This window comes from Homo sapiens, chromosome 14 (genome assembly GCF_000001405.40).
Source record: "Homo sapiens chromosome 14, GRCh38.p14 Primary Assembly".
Taxonomy (NCBI): Eukaryota; Metazoa; Chordata; class Mammalia; order Primates; family Hominidae; genus Homo; species Homo sapiens.
This window is the reverse complement of record NC_000014.9, coordinates 88,671,865-88,694,888: the sequence shown is the minus strand read 5'-3', so window position 1 is coordinate 88,694,888 and position 23,024 is coordinate 88,671,865. Positions and strand designations below refer to the sequence as shown.

At 38.5% G+C, this 23,024-nt stretch overlaps 1 protein-coding gene across 26 annotated transcripts in view; it reads left to right on the top strand.

Moving 5' to 3' along the window:
- The window catches only part of EML5 (EMAP like 5), a 180,523-nt gene that overhangs the window by 98,065 nt on the left and 59,434 nt on the right, over positions 1–23,024 (top strand). For 21 of the 26 annotated variants that reach the window (XM_017021065.3, XM_047431056.1, NM_001411033.1 and 18 more), the window contains 5 exons: positions 482–582; positions 6,416–6,618; positions 7,562–7,673; positions 9,747–9,874; positions 12,858–12,999. In XM_017021065.3, coding sequence (XP_016876554.1) covers positions 482–582; positions 6,416–6,618; positions 7,562–7,673; positions 9,747–9,874; positions 12,858–12,999 — 686 coding nt within the window. Of the gene's footprint in view, positions 1–481; positions 583–6,415; positions 6,619–7,561; positions 7,674–9,746; positions 9,875–12,857; positions 13,000–14,340; positions 14,444–23,024 lie in introns of those variants that run through there. The other 5 variants (XM_047431057.1, XM_011536533.4, XM_017021064.3 and 2 more) reach the window with 3 other exon arrangements.

The window sequence follows — 23,024 nt, the reverse complement described above, 5'->3', positions numbered from 1 at the left end:
AACTAGTCAACAGTGTCAGAGATTTTAACCTGCTATTTATTAAAGCGATGTTAAAGCACTTTAAATATATAGATAAATGCTTTTTATGGAGCATATAGATAATGCTCAAATTAACAATAGTTTAAGAGGAATTTTGTAGTTGGAAAGGCTATCTTAAGCTATAACAAAGTATTGTTTTAAAATTGACTTTAACCCATTCATGCCACAAATAGCATTCCCTATGGCACAGTACTATAGTAGGTATTATAGATGCTGTCCAAAAGGAGTTCAGTTTTGACCATTTCTGTCTCTTGAGATTCTCTTGAGCAGAGTTACCATATTAAAATGATGACAAAAGAACAAATACACAGCCCAAACCTGAGAGATAAGTGGGAGTAAAATATTCGTAAATAGAGTAATCAAGATAGGGTATGGATTAGGCAAGAGATTAATACAGGAATGATGAATCTTCAGAGCTAAAACATTTCGATGTTTATTTCAGAGGAAGTAAAGATAAGATTTTTGTTGTAAAGATGAACCCCTATGTGCCTGATAAACTAATTACAGCTGGAATTAAACACATGAAATTTTGGCGTAAAGCAGGTAAGAAAGTGCTTCTTTTTTACTCCATAGAATTTTAAGAAATTATTGCTTTTGAAAGTAATTTAGCTAAGTGCAGTGTGTACCCTAGACTGCATCCTGGAATAGAGCAGGAACACTAGGAGAAAAACTGATGAAATCTGAATGAAGTCTTGAGTTCATTTAATAATAATGTATCAAATATGTTGGTTTCTTAGTTTCAACAAATGGTCTATGGTAATATAAGATGTCAACATTGGCTGGGCACAGTGACTCATGCCTATAATCCCAGCACTTTGGGAGGCCAAGGTGGGAGGATCACTTGAGCCTAGGTGTTCAAGAGCAGCCTGGGCAGCATAGTGAGACCCTGTCTCTACAAAAAAAAAAAAAAAATTAGCTGGGCATGGTGGTGTGTACCTGTGGTCCCAGCTTCTTGGGACGATAAGGTGGAAGGATCACTTGAGCCCAGGAGGTTAAGGCTGCAGTGAGCTGTGATCTCCCACTGCACTGCAGCCTGGGCAACAGAGCAAGAACTTGTCTCGAAAAAAAAAAAAAAAAAAAAAAAAAGATGTTAACATTAGTAGAAACTGAAGTGTATAAGAGAATAATACTCTGTAACACTTTTGCATCTTTTCTGGAAATCTAAAATTATCTAAAATTAGTTTATTTTTTAAAAGTAATTTACTGTTGTATTGATGCATTTTAAACAAATACAAGATTTATTGCCATTTATTGGCTGCATTTATGTAGTTGATATGGTTTGACTGTGTCCCCACCCAAATCTCACCTTCACTTGTAATAATCCCTATGTGTCAAGGGCAGGGCCAGGTAGAGATAATTGAATCATGGGGGCGGTTCGCCATACTGTTCTTGTGGAAGTGAATACGTCTCATGAGATCTGATGGTTTTATAAATGGGAGTTCCCCTGCATAAGCAATTTTGCCTGTCACCATGTAAGACGTGACTTTGCTCCTCATTCACCTTCAGCCATGATTGTGAGGCTCCCCAGCCATGTGGAACTGTGAATCAATTAAACCTCGTTCCTTATAGATTACCCAGTCCTGGGTATGTCTTTATGAACAGTGTGAGAACAGACTAATACAGTAGTATTCATACTTGCAAAAGAATTCAATATATGAGATTAATCAAATTATGTCCAGACTTTTTCTTCTGTTAAAGACATGTTCTATAGTCTAAACTGAAAATGAAAATTAAAAAAAATTACTCATATGCTATTAAATGATACAAAAGTGTATCATTTATAGTACAAATGATACTTTAGTCATTTGTAACTATAAAATAAAAAATGTCTGTTTTCTAAATAGTATACTTATAAATTCCATCAATGTGACATCAAAATCTCAATAAATTGAAACTGTTCAGAGAAAATATGTAAATATAGGAAGAAGTAAAACATTATTAGAAAAGAATAAACTTAGTGAAGACATTTCCCAAGTTCAAGTAACTTTCAAGTTGTAAATTACATGGGACATGAATTAATTTTCAGTCTTGGATTTAACACTTTATCAAAAACTCATCAGATAACAGCATATGCGTTTACAAAGTAAAAAGAAGTATTTTTACATTTGTAATTTTGTTTCCACATGCTTAAACAAACTTCATTTGGGCACCTTAGTCACTTGTAATTGCAAATTCGCAGCATATACTACAGTTGTACCTCATGGCATCAGAAAATATCAGGGATTGGTTCCAGGATTCCCCAAGGATACCCAAATCCATGCTGCACAAGTCCCTTGTATAAAATGGTATAGTATTTGCATATAATTTATGCACATCCTCCTGTATATTTTCAGTCATTTCTAGACTACCGATAATACCTAATATAATGTAAATGCTATGTAAATAGTTTGTTGTACTGTTGTTTAGGGAATAATGACAAGGAAAAAAAGTCTGTATGTATTCAGTACAGAGCAACCATCCTTTTTTTCTTTTTGAAACAGAGTCTCGCTCTGTTGCCCAGGCTGGAGTGCAATGTTGTGATCTCGGCTCACTACAACCTCCACCTCCTGGGTTCAAGTGATTCTCCTGCCTCAGCCTCCTGAGTAACTGGGATTACAGGTGCCCGCCACCACACCCAGCTGATTTTTGTATTTTTTAGCAGAGATGGGGTTTCACCATGTTGGCCAGGCTGGTCTCGAACTCCCTGACTCCAGGTGATCAACCCGCCTTGGCCTCCCAAAGTGCTGGGATTACAGACATGAGCCACCGTGCCCAGCCCATCCTTTTTAAAAGGAATATTTTCAATCCACATTTTATTAAATCCACAGATGCAAAACCTGAGAACATGGAAGGCCGATTTTACTCAGTATTTCTGTCTTGGAAAAGAACTATGAATTTGTTTGAAATAAGATTTCAAGAAAGCAAATATTCTTGCAGTGAAAATACTTCCAAATGAATAACTTTCTTTCTTAAGTTTGATTAGACGTATAGTAGACCTGAAAGTGAAGCATAAAAGGATGAATGTTAAGGCTTTGGTGAGCATTTCAACCTTCCTTACTTTTGGGGTTCTGATCCACAGAGTTCATTAACCACTTGGGAAATAAGTATCCACTTACTTAACCTAACTATTGTTTAACCCTCTAAATGCATAGTTTTAGGTAAACTAGGTTGAAGGAGATGACTTAGGCTTGAGGTTAACATGGGGCTTCTTGCCTCCCATTCCAGATCTAGGCTTTGAGAATTTCAAGTTATGATTTATTAATCTCTCCCCTAAGGGATTTGAACTCTATTCATGGTAGGGACAGAGGGATGGGGAGCCTCTGAAAGTTTTTGATGCAATAATAATGTGAGCTGATTATATGACCTCATGTAACAGGAACATGTTATGCTGTGTGTATCATCAAGAAAACCCAGCTGTCAATGCTCTGAACCAAAGGTGGCAAACTTTTTCCATAAATGGCCAGATAGTAAATATTTTAGGCTTTCTAGGCCAAAGGACAAAATCAAGGGTATTATGTAGGTAATTATAGAACAAGAGAGAAAACTGTCCTGCCCTGCTTACCCTGTTTGCACCCAGTTGCCATTAGACATTCTGTCTGCCAGGGAATGGGTCTGGCAGGTTTTGGTTGGGAGTGAAACTGTAGTGAGCTTCACTACCCCAGTGACACATAGATCCTAGTGTGTCCTTCTGTTCCTGGAGAGCCCAACCTTCTGAATTTGGGCAGCTGACCAGAAATGGGGCAACTACTAGACTGAGATTCCACTGCCAGATACCCAGCAGTTGCCATTAGCAGAGTCTCTAGCTTGTAGGTGGGGACCAGCCCAGACTCTGGGCAGATGCTAGTTACAGCCACAAACCAGGGAGGCAGACCCTGGGTGCAGAGAAGTAAACAGACTTGGTCTCTGCAGCTCAGAGTGCTAACCTGCTCTAGTGGACATTGTACAAAAACAGGTAGTGGCAGGATTTGGCATTCAGCCTGTTGTTTCCCCACCCTGCTCTAGAAGATAGTTTGCCCTCTAATAAAGGCCAGTTCTTCCATTTGTGCACTAGATTCTTTCTCTCATCTACTCAAGGACATCACTCTAACTCTTCTACCCTTTCTCTACTGTATCATCAATGTTCCTCTCTACTGACTTTCCCTTCAGCATAAAAGTGTGATGTGATTTCGCCATCTTAAATAAGTGACACAAAACCCTCTTTCAACTTTATTCTCCAGTTGCTGATCAATTTGTCATCTTCTATGCTAAACCACCTCTAAACAGTTGTTCCTACTTTCAATTTGCAGTTTATGTTCTCTTTCTCTTTAGAAAAGTCTAATCTAGTTTTTTTCACCTCACCACTCCACCCAGCTGCTCTTACAAGGTCACTAATGACTCTGCCTTCTATGTTGAGAAAAGACAGTCTTCTGAATACATTTGGAATCTAACCACTTTTCGTCATCTTCTATGATATCACTTTGGTCTGCCACATTTACCATTTGCCCAGATGATTGAAATAGCCTTCTAACTCCTTTCATCCTTGACCTCCCTTGTATCTATTCTCAATCCAGAAGTCAGAATGAACCTCTTAATAAATCAATTGCCAGATCTTGTCATTTCACTATTCAAATGTTTTGCATCTCATGTAAAGCAAAAGTAGGCCGTCCTTACAATGGCCTGCAGTACTGCCTTAGACCTCTCCAACCCCATTTCCCATTACTGTCTCCCCTTCTTTGCTGCTCCATACTTGTCTCCCTGGATGTTACTTAGTGATTTCAGTCATGTTGTTGTATCGGGGCCTTTGCACTTGCTGCTCCCTCTGCCTGGAACACTCTTCTAGCATGGCTTGCTCTTGCTACCTCCTTCAAGTCTTCATTTAGATACACCTTCTTGATGAGGCTTACCTTAACCACCCTACTTAAAGTGGACTCCTCCCACTTCCTGTCTCCTTTTTATGCTTCTATTTTCTCCAAAGCACCCATCATCATCTAGCACAGTATATTTTACTTGTTACATTTATTGACTGTCTCTCACCATGAAGCTCTAGGGAATTTTGTTGTCTTGCCTGTTCTGTTCATAAGTCTATGCCTGGTACATTGAATAGTGCCTGGCATGTATATTTCTTTTTTCTTTCTTTCTCTCTCTCTCTTTTTGTTTGGAGACAGGGTTTTGCTCTGTCACGCAGGCTGGAGCGTACTGGCACAATCATGGCTCACTGCAACCTCTGCCTCTCAGGCTCAAGCTAGCCTCCTGCCTCAGCCTCTCAAGTGGCTGGGACCACAGGCGTACACCACCATACCCAGCTAATATATTTCTTGAATGAAGGAAGGAAGGAAGGAAGGAATTTGTGAGTCCAATTGGGAAAAATGGGCAAGAGATATCAATAGGTAATGATGGCCAGTAAAAATATGAAAATGTGATCTAGCATAATATTCACAGAAATGCAAATTTAAACTACAATAAAATTCAGTTGGTATTTCGTATTCCCTAGTGTGACAACACAAACTGTTCCCAAAGGTGAGAAACAAGGAATTCTTTTCACTGTTCGTAGGAGTGTACATTGGTATATAAACTTCGGAAAACAGTTTGGCAAGAGCTGATACCTCTCTGATCTATATGATATGCCTTTTGCACATTACCCTATTACTACTCCCAGGCATTCCTAGAGAAACTCTTGCACTTGTATAGAAGAGGCCTTTACAAGAATGTTTAAAGCAGCATTGCTTTTAATAGCAAAAACTTGGAAGTAACTTAAATCTCCATTAATAGGAAAATGGATAAGCCATGGTATAGTTATATAATGGAATGCTATGTGGTTATGAAAGTGAGTTTTCTAACATGTAAAAAACTCTATAACAAATCATTGGTGAATAAAGCAAGTTGCAAAGAATACATACAGGATGATATTTATAGAAAAATTTAAAACATGAAAAATGAGATTGCTTAAAAATTCACAAATATTTATATGTAAAGGAATGCATGAGAATAATCAGTATCACATTCACAATACTAAAGCGTGAAGAAGGGAGATGAGGTTGGCATGACATTTCAGTTACTTTGGGATCTTTTTGTAGGTCAGCGGATATATAGGCATTCATTGTATTGGGGTTTTTAAATGCCTTTTTGTATTCTTAAATATGTCATAATAAAAACTTTAAAAAACATCATCAAAAGTGCTAAGGGCTGATTAAAACAGACTTAGTCCAGGTCTTTGTTTATCTAAAAAGTTATGGTCTAAATGCAGTTATGCAAGGTGTTACCCACATCACTGATTGAGACACCTGTAGTTTTCAATTCTCCTTACTGTTGCATGCCTTACTATTCAAACAACAACAACAACAGTAGAAAAGAAACTTTGCTTCTTTATAATTGAGTACATTTTGAAAGTGGTACTTTCATAATATTTTTTGTGAACTAGGGGGAGGATTGATTGGAAGAAAAGGCTACATAGGCACACTGGGGAAAAATGACACAATGATGTGTGCAGTGTATGGATGGACTGAAGAGATGGCTTTTTCTGGAACATCCACAGGAGATGTGTGTATCTGGAGAGACATCTTTCTTGTAAAAACAGTGAAAGCGCATGATGGGCCAGTGTTCAGTATGCATGCATTGGAAAAAGTAAGTAACCTAAAGAGATTTTAAATTAAACAAAATTTGTCCTGGAGTGTAGAGCATTTTAAGAAGTAAAGGAACACTGCCTTTCTACTTGCCTGGACTATCCAGCAGTAGTCTGTGGGCTAGGGTCATCTTGACCTTTCTTTGTTTCTCTTTTCAAACTCCCGAACACAGAATGAAATAGGTCTGCAGTGTTTTGTTTTGAGATAGTGTCTCACTCTGTCACCCAAGCTGGAGCGCAGTGGTGTGGTCATAGCTCACTGCAGCCTCCAGCTCCTGGGCTCAAGAAATCCTCCTGCCTCAGCCTCTTGAGTAGCTGTGACTACAGGCAAGTGCCACCCACACCCATCTAATTTTTAAAAATTTTTTTGGTAGAGATTATGTTGCCCAGGGTAGTCTCCAACTCCTGGGCTTAAGCTATTCTCCCACCTCAGCCGTCAAAGTATTGTGTTACAGGCATGAGCCATGGTGCCAGCCAGGTCTGCTGTTGTTGTTTTGTGTTTTTTTTGTTTTTTTTTAAAGTTTAACTTCATGTTCTTAAGCTCATACTATGTGTCAAAAATCGGCTGTTTATATATAATCACCATATCCATCAGGTAGTTACCATTTTTGTTTTCTCTTTTTAAGGATGAGGTTATTATGTAGACTCCAAGAGGATATATGTAACTTTCTGAGAGTGGTGATCTAACTTATAGTTACAGATTTTAGAAACTGTGTTTCTAAAGCCCTATCTAAAAGTAAAATGTTTAGGGTCACTGTAAATATTGTTGCAGATTCCATGTAGACGGTTTAAAAACACAATGGATTCTTAAGCTAATTCCTGTTCTTTACAAGCTGTAACTTTTGACTATGTTCTTTTTTCTAGAAGTTTTCAATATAAGGAAAAAGGTTACTATTTTAAAAAATATTTAGATCTTTATTAACTTGAACCTTTTTTTTTCCATAGGGGTTTGTAACTGGAGGAAAAGATGGTATAGTAGCTCTTTGGGATGACTCTTTTGAAAGATGTCTCAAGACCTATGCTATAAAAAGAGCTGCATTGGCCCCAGGATCTAAAGGTGATTTGAGACTTAGTGGGGTTTTTGTATAGGAAAAAAAGATTAATTGCTCATTAATGTGTGTGATCACTGAGGTGGAACACATGGCATGTATTTTTCCGTCTTGTTGGGCATCAGAATTAAGTGGAAGAAATCACTTAACTGGATACCAGAATCATTGCCATCTTTTCAAAAGTCTATTTTCTATGATACACATGGTAAAATATTAGTGAAATACAAGATTATGAATCCTAATTTTAACATTAATTTTCCAAAGAAAATTTCCATGTGAACATCACATTTATCACCAGTCAGGAACTTGTGTGCAACTTTGATATTTTGTTTCACCTTGGCATTTTGTTGACCCTGTTTCTGTAGCCTCACAGGCCTTTTTTCCCTTTGCCATTTGTTTGTTGATTTATTTAAGAGACAGGGTCCTGCTGTGCTGCCCAGGCTGGAGTGCAGTGGTGCAATCATAACTCACTGAAACCTTGAACCCCTAGACTCAAGTGGTCCTCCTGCCTCAGCCTCCTGAGTAGTTGGGACTAAAGGCGCCTGCCACCATACTCAGCAAATTTTCAAATTTTTGTGCAGCCAGGGTCCCTCTATGTTGTCCAGGCTGGTCTCAAACTCAAATGATCCTCTAAACTTGGCCTCCCGAAGCACTGAAATTACAGGCATGAGCCACTGTGCTTGGCCTACCTTTTTTTTTTTGAAGAGGAGGAAGGGTGCAAGGGCAGCATCAGGCCCAACTCCCTGTCCGCCGACCATCCTCCGGGCTGTGGGCCCAGAGGGTGCATTTTCTTTATTATTATTATTATTGTTATTATTATTATTATACCTTGAGTTCTAGGGTACATGTGCACAATGTGCAGGTTTGTTACATATGTATACATGTGCCATGTTGGTGTGCTGCACCCGTTAACTCGTCTTTGAGTGCATTTCTTCCTTTAAGGCATAGCACCACACTCTCTCTGACTTCTGGGCCTTTCTACCTGTTTTTACTTTTTCCTAAAACATGTCCTTCCTCTTCCTTCCTGCCCCCTCCAGTTACTTGACAACATACTTATTTTTCAAATATCAAACCTGATTTTTTCTAGGATGATTTCCCCCACCCTCATCTCCTCTCAAAAAAGTTAGATTCCACTGCTCTGTGCTCCCATTTCAATATGCCCCTAACACAGGGTCTGTTTTCCTCACTGTATGCTCTGTAAGGGTATGAGTTGAGTCTATCATCTTTACTAATATGTTGCTGAAGCCTCCCTAGGACAAGTAGACATAAATAAATATAGTTGGCCCTCTGTATCTGTGGGTTCCATATCCTCAGATTCAACCAACTGCAAATAGAAAATATGCTAGAGAAAAATAAAAAGTAACAATAGAACAATAAAAATAATATAAATTAAAAATACAGTATAACAGCTATTTACATAGCATTTACATTCTACTAGATATAAGCAATCTAAAAGTTATTTAAAGCACATGGGGGCCGGCTGTGGTGGCCCACATCTGTAATCCCAACACTTTGGGAGGCCCAGGTGGGTGGAACTCCTGAGCCCAGGAGTTTGAGATCAGTCTGGGCAAAATGGCACAACCCCACCCTACTGAAAAAAAAAATATATGGAATGATGTATGTGGGTTATATGCAAATACTACACCATTTTATATGAGGGACTTGAGCATCCATAGACTTTGGTATCTGTGGTTGTCCTGGAATCAATCCCCCAAGGATACTGAGGGCTGACTATATATCTTGAATTGAATTAAAATTACTAATAAGAATATTGTAAATAAGAGGGGCAGGAGATGGATAAGGAAGGGCTAATATAAGAAGAGGTAAACAAATAGCTGTTGGAATGGTAGGAGGGAATGTGAGAATAGAATCATAGACTTATAAGACATAGGTGGTACTTATTTAGAGATTACTAAATTGAATGATTGAGGTTAATATAGTACATTTATTAGAATACTTAAAATACAGGAGAAAACCTTGTAATGTGATTTTCACTGTCAAAATAGCTTAATTGGCAATATATACACTGTTGTATTATAGTAACTGTATGTCTAAAAGAACATCTTCATTTAACATTTCAGGTCTTCTCTTGGAAGATAATCCATCTATACGTGCCATATCATTAGGACATGGTCATATTTTAGTTGGCACAAAGAATGGTGAAATACTAGAAGTGGATAAAAGTGGCCCAATAACACTTCTGGTTCAGGTAATTTTAAATGCTAATTTGTTTTTTTTTCTTTACATACAATTGATTATTTCAATATATAAGAGCCAAAAGTTGACAGTGATGAAAAATAATGTTAAATTAGGGAAATATTTGTTAATGTATACAGAAAAAAAATTTAATGTATACAGAAAAAAATTTTAACGTATACAGAAAAAATTAATGTATACAGAAAAAATTTGTTTTTTTCTGTTAATGTATACAGAAAAAATTTTAATTTGGTTATAATGAAATGATTGGGTGTCAGTAAATATACATATTCTTCTATGGAATAATTGCCAATATTTTGAGTAATTTCTTATCAGAAAATAAAGGACCCATGAAAAGAAAAACCAGCTGTAATTAATTTAACCCAGTCTGTTTTTAATTTTATTTATATAAGGTATATTTGTTGAGCCTAAGGCAATTATTTTTCTCTGAAACTCTTCATTAGGCCATTCTTAAGTTTCTAAGAAAAAATAAAAATGTATGCTAAAATTTCATTACTGAAAATTAAATATCAGTGAAAAGATGTAAATAATAAAACAGGCCGGGCGCGGTGGCTCACGCCTGTAATCCCAGCACTTTGGGAGGCCGAGGCGGGCGGATCACGAGGTCAGGAGATCGAGACCATCCCGGCTAAAACGGTGAAACCCCGTCTCTACTAAGAATACAAAAAATTAGCCGGGCGTAGTGGCGGGCGCCTGTAGTCCCAGCTACTTGGGAGGCTGAGGCAGGAGAATGGCGTGAACCCGGGAGGCGGAGCTTGCAGTGAGCCGAGTTTTTAACTTCCATTATTTTTGATGCTGTTATAAATACAACTGTTTTCTTAATTTTGATTGCATATTGTTCATTTCTAGTGTATCAAAATGCAGTAGATTTTGTACATTAACCCTATAACCTGTAAACTTGCCGTCCTCATTTATTAGTTCTGATAGTTTTATAATGGATTATTTAGGGTTTTCTGTGTACAACATTATGTCATCTGTAAATACACATAGTTTTACTTCTTCTTGTCCAATCTGGATGCCTGCTATTTCTTTTTCTTGTCCAATAGTCTTGACTAGAACCTCCAGTACATTGTTAAATGTAAGTGGTGAGAACAGAACATCCTTGTCTTGTTCCTGATCTTAGAGTGAAAGCATCTAGTCTTCCACCATTGAGTATAAGGTTAACTGTGGGTTTTTCGTAGATGCTCCTTACTAAGTTTAAGTTGAGGAGTTACTACCCTTTTATTCCAAATTTGTGGAGCATTTTCATCAAATGCTTTTTCTATGTCTATTAAGCTGATCATGTGTTTTTCATTTTTAATTCTGTTGATATAGTGTATTAGTTGATTTTTGATGTTGTCAATCTTGCATTCCTGGGATAAATCCCACTTGGTTGTGATATGTAATGTTTTATGTGTATTGGATTTGGTTTGCCAGTATTTTGTTGAGGATTTTAGCATCAGTATTTATAAGAGATATTGGTATTTAGTTTTCTTGTGATATCTTTGTCTGGCTTTGATATCAGGGTAATAATGGCTGTATAACATAATTCAGGAAGGGTTCCCTCATCTTTGTCTCTTTCCCTGACCACACCCAACTGTTAAACTCCTTTAATTGGTAGCATATTGCTCTATTGTTTTCAACATTTTCCTTGGGTATAAATTGTGCCACAGGCTAAACCAATCAAATTCAGGCTCCTTTAAAGGGATACTTCCCTAGATTAGTGTTTGAGGTTTGTTTCTGACTCCAGGCAGGCTCCTCCCAGCTATCTCTGCGAGTTTACTGGTTCTCTTGGACAAACTAGCTGGCCTACGGTTTAGCCTATATTTCCAGTTAGCCTACCAGTCTCCTCCCAATTACTTTTTATTAGATTTTTTACAAATTCTGGAAAGATATTAAAAACCATATAGAAGAAAAAATATTCAAGAATAGTTAAGAAATTTTCAAAACAATTTTCACTGTTTTTGAGACGTACTTATGCATGAGCTTTTTCACACTCTGCTGTAAATGAAGTCAGTTCCTTTGAGAAGAGATTAGGAGCTATCTGGATTTCTGGATTGCCTCTCCCTCCAGGCAGAATCTCTGAACCAGGGCTCTGGAGTTGAGAGTGAGGTCAATGGAATCCTTATCTTTGAGTATCTCAGGCTTTAGGCCCTGAGTACTTGGTAAGGGGAGAGGGGACAGTAGTCTCAGCTTTTCCTGGGTTACCCCAGGACCCCATTATTCTCAGAGGCACCACATCCAAAGTAGAGCCTCCATCTGGAGGAGGGGCTGGGCAGAAGTTATCTCCCACCTGTCAGCTGAGCTCAACAAGAATTTAGCCTCAGCAACAGGAGGCTGAGGGCAGGGTGAGAAATGCTGACATCCTGCCCTACCTGGAAAGATAGTGCTCTGACCGCGAGCTGGGGGGAGAGAGAGCCTAGTGTTCTTGGTTGCATCAGTCTCGGAGTTTCCAACCAGATGAGGAGGGAGGAAGGGAGTGGATCTCAGTTTAAATACCGTAGACTCTCACTGTTCTTAACAAATTTTAACAGATTTTCTTGAGTAAATGTTCCTTCCTTTGTTGCATCTCCTTGGAACTATTTTCAGAGACTTTAAATGCTTGCGTTTTTTTTTTTTAATTGATTTTTACTAGTTTCACTGGTGAGCAGGTCTGTGGAGCTCCTCACTCTCTCATGCAGGAAAGTACCTCCTGTGTGGCAATTATTAACATTGCAGAGCAGCCAATTCCTATTCTCTCCACCCAGAGAAAGTTTTAGGATTATAAGCTAACTTTAATTGTAGCTTGATTATATGGTAATTGTGGAGCTAAAGTTGTTACAGAGGTATTTTATTGTGTTTCCCAAAGATAAACAGAAAAGTTTTGATAGATTTACTCACTATTCGGTATCCTATTATCATATATTATTGAATGGTATCTTTAGCTTTATTCTAAATAAAACTGTGTATAAATATACACACACATACACTAAATTGATCCTATGTTTTCTTTATAGGGACACATGGAAGGAGAGGTGTGGGGTTTAGCTACACACCCTTATCTGCCCATCTGTGCTACTGTAAGCGATGATAAAACCTTAAGAATATGGGATCTCTCACCTAGTCATTGTATGTTGGCTGTCCGGAAGCTGAAAAAGGGTAAGAGGCTCTCACACTTGAACGTAGATTAAGCTCTCACAGTTTTCTAACCTTTACAAATATAAGAAAGCAAAACTAGGCACATTTTAAAAAGGCTTTAAATATGTTGAAATATTTATTCAATGTCTACTTGCTCATGGTGCCACATAGAGAAACGTAATTGTACTCAGTCTTGGCTTTATGGGACCTCCTATCATCATGCCTAAAGTGAGCAAATTTCCAATAACTTGTTGAATAAAGAATATAGAAGGTAAACAGAAGCTAAGTTTTTCTCTCCTTTGTGACTATGGATTATACATAATTTAGAACTGGAAACTTTTCTAAGGCATAGTGGGGACTAAAAAAAATTCAAAAAAGAACTAAAAACTAAGGGTAGACAGCTGAGGAAGGATATTGTAAATAGAACTGAGCCCATTTGTAGGAAGCAGATGAAGCTGTCAGGGTAGAGAGACAGGGTTTCCCCATCTTGGCCAGGCTGGTCTCAATCTCCTGACCTCATGATCTGCCCACCTCGGCCTGCCAAAGTGGTGGGATCACAGGCGTGAGCCACGGCCCCCGGCCAATTCCAAGTTTAAAATGAACTTTCTGTTTTTTAATTCTACACTATTAGTCCTTGTCTTGTTCATTTCATGTTTTCTGTCTGTCTCTATGTGGCGTCTGTGTGATTTTTTCAGATCTTTATTCTAGTTTTTAATTCTCTTTATAGCAGTTCATTCCCATCTGTTTTTTAAGCTACCCATTAGTTAATTTTGATAATTGTCATTTTTATAACTTCTATTTGTTTTCAAGTTTGCCTGAGATATTTTAACATCATACTTCTTGTTTATATTTTAGATTTACTCTTTTCTATCTTTAATCTTAACTACCCATTTCAGATAAAGAATATAAAATCTAATTGTCTCCAAGGATCTCATTTTGCTGTGTTTTTCTTACCATTCTTTTGGATGTTTTCTTGTTTTTTTGTTTTGGTTTTTGTTTTTTTTCTGCTGACTCCCTCCTAGTGGTCCATCTTCTTGTGCATTTTAAATTTGTATTGTAAGTTCATGTTTGATTGGACTTTACCTGTGGGAATCCCATGATGTCTGGATTGAGGGTGTGGGAATCCCATGATGTCTGGATCGAGGACTTTTTTTTGAAAAACAATATAACCCGTGTTTACTCTGGATGCTAATGATTCAGAGATCAGATTTTTTTAAAATTTGGAAATAATGGTATTAGATTATCACTATGAGTATTTTGGAACCTAAAATTAACATAAAAATTTGAAAGCTAGTACTATAATGAGTACAGTTAATGTATGTCCCTTCATGAATTCCAGAGATTTTGTGTTTCTCTCTTCAGGTGTCTGGGGTGCTACCATCGAGAACCACTGAAAATTTATTTAACTGGGATTACATAAATCATGTAATTAGAATAAATTTGAATCTAAGGTTTATGAAAGCCACCCTGTGTTTGTGAATTCTCAAGTATGATTTTTCCTTCTCTGTGGAGAACCCAGGCCAGGATAGATAAGCTTGTTTCATAAAGTCTTTATTGCCAGACACATTTTAAAAAAAAGGTTTCTCTGTTTTTTTCTCCTGAGATATGGTTGTAATACTAGAAGAAAATGACAATATGCTGTTTGGAGAGTTTTTGCCAAAAAAATTGCATGTAATTAAATAACTATTTTATTTCTTAAGATATTCATGAGTCAAAAAAATTTAAAGTAAAAATTAGTGAAACTAAATATATAATTTAATGTTTAGTATATTGAAATACAAAAAGACAAAATCATAATATAAGTATAGCTGTGCAGTATTTTAATTGGTAAATTATTAAAAGTAAATACTTCATAAAATGAAGAAAGTTTCAGCATAAAACACTGAAATAAAATAACTGATGTTTCTTTTAAAGCAACCTTAAGGAGCAAAGTTTATTAATGATAGTATTATTGAGTTGAAAAGTAATTAATTTTGAGCAAATTTTTCCAATGGCCTAAAAGGCCCTTACTATACGCTACACTATACTATACACTATTCTATACACTAGTCTGAGTAATGATGAAAATATAAGTATAATCCAGTTCTAAATTTCCTGTGACTCTTGTATCATCAGATAATACTATCTCTTGTTTGATGGCTTCAAGGACATTTTTTTGAAAAAGTTTTTTTTTGTAGGGACTATAGCACCTTTATTTTTTTATTTTTTATTTTTATTTTTTGAGACAGTCTTGCTCTATCACCCAGGCTGGAGTGCAGTGGCATGATCTTGGCTCAGTGCATCCTCCGCCTCCCAGGTTCAAGCGATTCTTCTGCTTCAGTCTCCCGAGTAACAGGGACTACAGGCGTGCGCCACCACGGCTGGCTTATTTTTGTATTTTTAGTAGAGATGGAGTTTCACCATGTTGGCCAGGCTGGTCTTGAACTCCTGACCTCAAGTGATCCGCCCACCTTGGCCTCCCAAAGTGCTAAGATTACAAGCATGAGCCACCATGCCTGGCTATAGCCCCTTTATTGATAGCAAGCTATAATATTTATTTTAAAGAAAGCATTTCCAGGTTACATTGTCTTTAAATTTATGATTTGTAGAAGGAAATTATAATTCATTACTATTGTATTTGTTGTGAGTTGAGTTGTGTCCCCCTGAAAAGATATGTTGAAGTTCTAACCCCCCAGTACTTGTGAATGTGTCCTCATTTAGAAATAGAGTATTAGCAGATATAATCAGTTTAAGACAAAGGCATACTAGATTTGGTTGGGCTCTAAATCCAGTGACTGATGTCCTTATAAGAAGGCCATGTGAAGATATAGGAACACAGACACACTGGGAGAATGCAGCGTGATGATGGAAGCAGAGGATTGGAGTGATGTACCTATAAACCAAGGAGCACCAAGGATTGCTACAACCACCAGAAGCTAGAGAGAAACAAGGAAGGATTATTCCCAAGAACTTTCACAACGGAGCATAGCTCTGCCAACATCTTGATTTCAGATTTCTAGTCTCCAGAACTGTGAGAGAATGGGTTTCTGTTGTTTTAGGACACACAGTTTGTGGTCATTTGTTACAGCCTCTAGGAAACCAATACTGTGTTCATATTCCAGTGTTCAAAAAGTCTTCAAGCTAGAATAAGAATTATTCTCACAGTATTAGTTTTGCTTAGTTGACCTTTATTATCTCTGTGAAATTTGAGGGAAGAAAATTTTTTTCAAAACAATATAACCCGTGTTTACTCTGGATGCTAATGATTCAGAGATCAGATTTTTTTAAAATTTTGAAATAATGGTATTAATCACTATGAGTATTTTGGAACCTAAAATTAACAAAAATTTGAAAGCTAGTACTATAATGAGTACAATTAATGTATGTCCCTTCATGAATTCCAGTTTTGTCTAGGAGGTTCAGGTGCAAGACTAGTCTGCTATGCCGTTAGGGCAGATGTGGCTTTAAAATTTTTTTTTATTTTATGTTATTTTAAGTTCCGGGATACATGTGCAGGATGTGCAGGTTTGTCACATAGGGAAACGTGTGCCATGATGGCTTGTTGCACCTGTCAACCCATCACCTAGATATTAAGCTCCATGTGAATTAGCTATTTATCCCAATGCTCTCCCTCCTCCCTGTCCCCCAAGAGGCCCCAGTGTGTGTTCCTCTCCCTGTATCCTTAGTTCTCATTGTTCAGCTCCCACTTATAAGGGAGAACATGCAGTATTTGGTTTTCTGTTCCTGTGTTAGTTTGCTGAGGATAATAGCTTCCAGCTCCATCATGTCCCCACAAAGGACATGATCTTGTTACTTTTTATGGCTGCATAGTATCCCATGGTGTATATATACCACATTTTCTTTATCCAGTCTAATATCGATGGGCATTTGAGTTGATTCCATGTCTTTGTTATTGTGAATAGTGCTGCAGTGAACATATGTGTGCATGTATCTTTGTAATAGAATGATTTCTGTTCCTTTGTGTATATACTCAGTAATTACATTGCTGGGTCAAATGGTGTTTCTGGTTCTAGGTCTTTGAAGAATCACCGTCTTCCACAATGGTTGAGCTAATTTACATTCACACCAACAGAGTAAAAGTGTTCCTATTTCTCCACAGCCTTAGCACCATCTATTGTTTCTTGACTGTTTAATAATCGCCATTCTGACTGGTGTGAGATGGTATCTCAATGTGGTTTTGATTTGCATTTCTCTAGTGATCAGTGATGTTGAGCTTTTTAAAATATGTTTCTCAGCTGCATAAATGTCTTCTTTTGAGAATTGTCTGCTTATGTCCTTTGCCCACCTTTTAATGGGGTTATTTCTTGTGAATTTGTTTAAGTTCCTTGTAGATTCTGGATATTAGACCTTTGTCAGATGGACAGATTGCAAAAAATTTTCTCCCATTCTGTAGGTTGCCTGATCATTCTGATGACAGTTTCTTTTGCTGTGAGGAAGCTCTTCAGTTTAATTAGATCCCATTTGCCAATTTTTGCCTTTTTGCAATTGCTTTTGACATTTTCATAATTGAATCTTTGCCTGTACCTGTGTCCTGAATGGTATTGCCTAGATTTTCTTCTAGGGTTTTTATAGTTTTGGGTTTTACATTTAAGTCTTTAATCCATCTTGAGTTAATTTTTGTATAAGGTGTAAGGAAGGGGTCCAGCTTCAATTTTCTGCATGTGGCCAGCCAGTTTTCCCAGCATCATTTATTAAATAGGGAATCTGGCCAGGTGTGGTGGCTCATTCCTGTAATCCTAGCACTATGGGAGGCCAAGGTGGGCAGATTGTGTGAGCTCAGGAGTCCGAGACCAGTCTGGCCAATATGGTGAGACCCTGTATCTACTAAAAATACAAAAATTAACCAGGTGTGGTGGTGTGTGCCTGTAGTCCTAGCTACTTGGGAGGCTTAGGCAAGAGAATTGCTTGAACCCAGGAGGTGAAGGTTGCAGTGAGCCAAGATTGTGCCACTGCACGTCAGTCTGGGAGACAGAGCAAGACTCTGTCTCAGAAAAAATACAAACAAACAAATAAATAGGAAATCCTCTCCCCATTGCTTGTTTTTGTCAGGTTTGTCAAAGATCAAATGGACATAGATATGTGGTCTTACTTCTGAGATCTCTATTCTATTCCCTTGGTCTATGTGTCTGTTTTTGTACTAGTGGCCATGATGTTTTGGTTACTGTAGCCTTGTAGTATAGCTTGAAGTGGGATTAGCATGATGCCTCCAGCTTTGTTTTTATGGCTTAGCATTGTCTTGGCTATATGGGCTCTTTTTTGGTTCCATATGAATTCTAAAGTAGTTTTTTTCTAATTCTGTGAAGAATGTCAATGGTAGTTTATTGGGAATAGCATTGAATCTATAAATTACCTTGAGCAGTGATATAGTTTGGCTGTGTCCCCACTCAGATCTCATCTTGAATTCCTACATGTTGTGGGAGGGACCTGGTGGGAGGTAATTGAATCATGGGGGCAGGTCTTTCCCGTGCTGTTCTCGTGATAGTGAGTCTAATGACTTCTGATGGTTTCATGTGTCTGGCATTTCACCTCCTTCCACTCACTCTATCCTGCCACCCTGTGAAGAAGGTGCCTGCTTCTCCTTTGGCTTCTGCCATGATTGTTAAGTTTCCTGGGACTTCCTCAGCAATGTGGAACTGTGAGTCAGTTAAATCTCTTTCCTTTATAAATTGCTTAGTCTCAGGTATTTCTTCATAGCAGTGTGAGAACGGACTAATACAGTAAAGTGGTACCAGTAGAGTGGGATGCTGCTGAAAAGATACCTGAAAATGTGGAAGCAACTTTGAAACTGGGTAACAGGCAGAGGTTGGAACAGTTTGGAGGGCTCAGAAGCAGATAGGAAAATGTAAGAAAGTTTGGAACTTCTTAGAGACTTGTAGAATGGCTTTGACCAAAATGCTGATGATGACACAGGCAATGAAATCCAGGCTGAGGTGGTCTCAGATGGAGATGAGGAACTTGTTGGGAACTGGAGCAAAGGTGACTCTTCTTATGTTTTAGCAAAGAGACTGGTGGCATTTTCCCTCAGCCCTGGAGATTTGTGGAACTTTGAACTTGAGGGAGATGATTTAGGGTATCTAGTAGAAGAAATTTCTAAGCAACAAATTATTCTTGAGGTGACTTTGGTGTTGTTTAAAGTATTCAGTTTTTAAAGGGAACCAGAGCATAAAAGTTCAGGAAATTTGCAGCCTGACTGTGACAGAAAAGAATATCTCATTTTCTGAGGTGAAATTCAAGCCAGCTGCAGAAGTTTGCATAAATAATGAGGAGCTGAATGTTAATTCCCAAAACAATGGGGAAAGTGTCTCCAGGGCATGTCAGAAGTCTTCACGGCAGCCCCTCCCATCACAGGCCTGGAGGCCTAGGAGGAAAAGATGGTTTTGTGGGCCAGGCCACGGGCCCCTCTACTCTGTGCAGCCTAGGGACTTGGTACCCTGCATTCCAGCAGCTCCATCCATAGCTAAAAGGGGCCAAAGTACAGCTTGGACTGTTGCTTCAGATCAGAAGCCTCAAGCCTTGGCAGCTTCCATGTGGTGTTGAGCCTGCAGGTGCACAGAAGTCAAGAATTGAGGTTTGGGAACCTCCACCTAGATTTCAGAGGATGTATGGAAATGCCTGGATGCCCAGGCAGAAGTTTGCTGCAGAGGCAGGGACCTCATGAAGAACCTCTGCTAGGGCAGTGCAAAAGGGAAATGTGGGGTTGGAGCCCCCATACAGAGTCCCTACTGGGGCACCGCCTAGTGGAGTTATGAGAAGAGGGCAACCATCCTTCAGACCCCAGAATGGTAGAACAACTGACAGCTTGCACCATGTGCCTGGAAAAGCCACAGGCACTGAATGCCAGCCTGTGAAAGCAGCCAGGAAGGGGGCTATACTCTGCAAAACCACAGGGGCAGAGCTGCCCAAGACCATGGGAACCCACCTCTTGCATCAGTGTGGCCTGGATGTGAGGCATGGAGTCAAAGGAGATCACTGGAACTTTAAGATCTGACTGTCCTGCTGGATTTTGGACTTGAATGGGGCCTGTAACCCCTTGGTTTTGGCCAGTTTCCCCTATTTGGGACAGCTGTATTATCCAATGCCTGTACCCCCATTGTATCTAGGAAGTAAGTAACTTGCTTTTGATTTTACAAGCTCATAGGTGGAAGGGACTTGCCTTGTCCCAGATGAGATGTTAGACTGTGGACTTTTGAGTTAATGCTGAAATGAGTTAAGACTTTGGTGGACTGTTGGGAAGGCACGATTGGGTTTGAAATGTGAGGACATGAAATTTGGGAAGTGCCAGGGTCAGAATGATGTGGTTTAACTGTGTCCCCACCCAAATCTCATCTCGAATTCACATGTGTTGTGGGAGGGACTTGGTGGGAGGTAATTGAATCATGGGGGCGGGTCTTTCCTGTGCTGTTCTCGTGATAGTGAGTCTCACGACATCTGATGGTTTTATGTGTCTGGGATTTCACCTGTTTGTACTCACTCCATCCTGCTGCCCTGTGAAGAAGGTGCCTGCTTCTCCTTTGCCTTCTGCTATGATTGTAAGTTTCATGAGGCCTCCTCAGAAATACAGAACTGTGAGTCAATTAAATCTCTTTCCTTTATAAATTACCAAGTCTCAGGGTTTTTATTGTTGTTGTTGTTGTTGTTTTTGAGATGAAGTCTCACCCTTTTAGCCCAGCCTGAAGTGCAGTGGCACAATCTGAGCTCACTGCAACCTCCACCTCCTGGGTTCAAGTGATTCTCCTGCCTCAGCCTCCTGAGTAGCTGAGATTACAGACATGCGCTACCATGCCTGGCTAATTTTTGTACTTTTAGTAGAGACAAGGTTTCACTATGTTGGCCAGGCTGGTCTTGAACTCCTGATATTAAGTGATCCGCCCACCTCAGCCTTCCAAAATGCTGGGATTACAGGTGTCAGCCACCACACCCAGCCAGGTATTTCTTCATAGCAGTGTGAGAACAGACTAATAACAGGCAGTATGGCCATTTCACAATATTTATTCTTCCTATGTATGAGCATGGAATTATTTCATTTGTTTCTGTCCTCTTTTATTTCCTTGAGCAGTGGTTTGTAGTTTTTGAAGAGGTCCTTCACTTCCCTTGTTAACTATATTCCTAGGTATTTTATTCTCTTCATAGCAATTGTGAACAGGAATTCATTCATGATTTGGCTCTCTGTTTTCTGTTGTTGGTATATAGGAATGCTTGTAATTTTTGCACATTGATTTTGTATCCTTTGACTTTGCTGAAGTTGCATATCAGCTTAAGAAGCTTTTGGGCTGAGATAATGGGGTTTTCTAGACATACTATCATATCATCTGCAAACAGAAAACAGTTTTACTTCCTCTCTTCCTATTGGAATACACTTTATTTCTTTCTCTTGTCTGATGGCCCTGGCCAGAACTTCCAATACTATGTTGAATAGGAGTGGTGAGAGAAGGCATCCTTGTCTTGTGCTGGTTTTCAAGGGGAATGCTTCCAGCTTCTGCCCATTCAGTATGATACTCACTGTGGGTTTATCATTATTATTTTGAGGTATGTTCCATCAATACCTAGTTTATTGAGAATTTTTAACGTGATGGGATGTTGAATTTTATCAAAGGCCTTTTCTGCATATACTGAGATAATCATATGGTCTTTGTCTTTAGATCTGTTTATGTGATGAATTATGTTTATTGATTTGTGTGTGTTGAACAAGCCTAGCATCCTGGGGATGAAGACAGCTTGATCGTGGTGGATAATCTTTGATGTGCTGCTGGATTCAGTTTGCCAGTATTTTATTGAGGACTTTTGCATCAATATTCTTCAGTCATATTGGCCTGGAGTTTTCTTTTTTTTGTTGCATCTCTGCCAGGTTTTGGTATCAAGATCATGCTGGCCTCAAAAAATGAGTTAGGGAGGAGTCCCTTTTTTTCAGCTGTTTGGAATAGTTTCAGAAGAAATGGTACCAGCTCCTCTTTGTACCTCTGGTAGAATTCAGCTGTAAATCTGTCTGGTCCTGGGCTCTTTTTGGTTGGTAGACTATTTATTACTGCCTAAATTTCAGAACTGTTATTGGTCTATTCAGGGATTCAACTTCTTCCTGGTTCCGTCTTTGGAGAGTGTATGTGTCCAGGAATTTATCCATTTCTTCCAGATTTTCTATTTTATTTGCATAGAGGTGTTTATAGTATTCTCTGATGGTTGTTTGTATTTCTGTGGGATCAGTGGTGATGTCCCCTTTATCATTTTTTATTGTGTCGATTTGATTCTTCTCTCTTTTCTTGTCTAGCTAATGATCTATTTTATTAATTTTTTTCAAAAACCGGCCCCTGGATTCATTAATATTTTTTGACGCGCTTTTCGTGTCTCTATCTCCTTCAGTTCTGCTCTGATCTTGGTTATTTCTTGTCTTCTGCTAGCTTCGGGGTTTGTTTGCTCTTGGTTCTCTAGTTCTTTTAGTTGTGATATTAGGGTGTCAATTTGAGATCTTTCTAGCTTTTTGATGTGGGCATTTAGGGCTATACATTTCCCTCTTAAAACTGCTTTAGCTGTGTCCCAGAGATTCTGGTATCTTGTCTCCATGTTCTTATTGGTTTCAAAGGACTTCTTGATCTCTGCCTTAATTTCATTATTTACCCAGGAGTCATTTAGGAGCAGGTTGTTCAATTTCTGTGTAGTTATGTGGTTTTAAATGATTTTCTTAATCTTGGGTTCTAATTTGATAGTGCTGTGGTCTGAGAGACTGTTATGATTTCAGTTCTTTTGTACTTGCTGAGGAGTGTTTTACTTTCAATTATGTGATCGATTTTAGGGTACGTGCTATGTGGTGCCAAGAAGAAAGTATATTCTATTGTTTTTGGTTGGAGAGTTCTGTAGATATCTATCAGGTCCGCTTGATCCGGAGCTGAGTTCAAGTCCTGAATATCTTTGTTAATTTTCTGTCTTTATGATCTAATGTTGACAGTAGGGTGTTAAAGTCTCCCACTATTATTATGTGGGAGTTTAAGTTGTCTCTTCGTAGGTCTCTAAGAACTTGTTTTATGAATCTGGGTGCTCCTGAACTGGGTGCATGT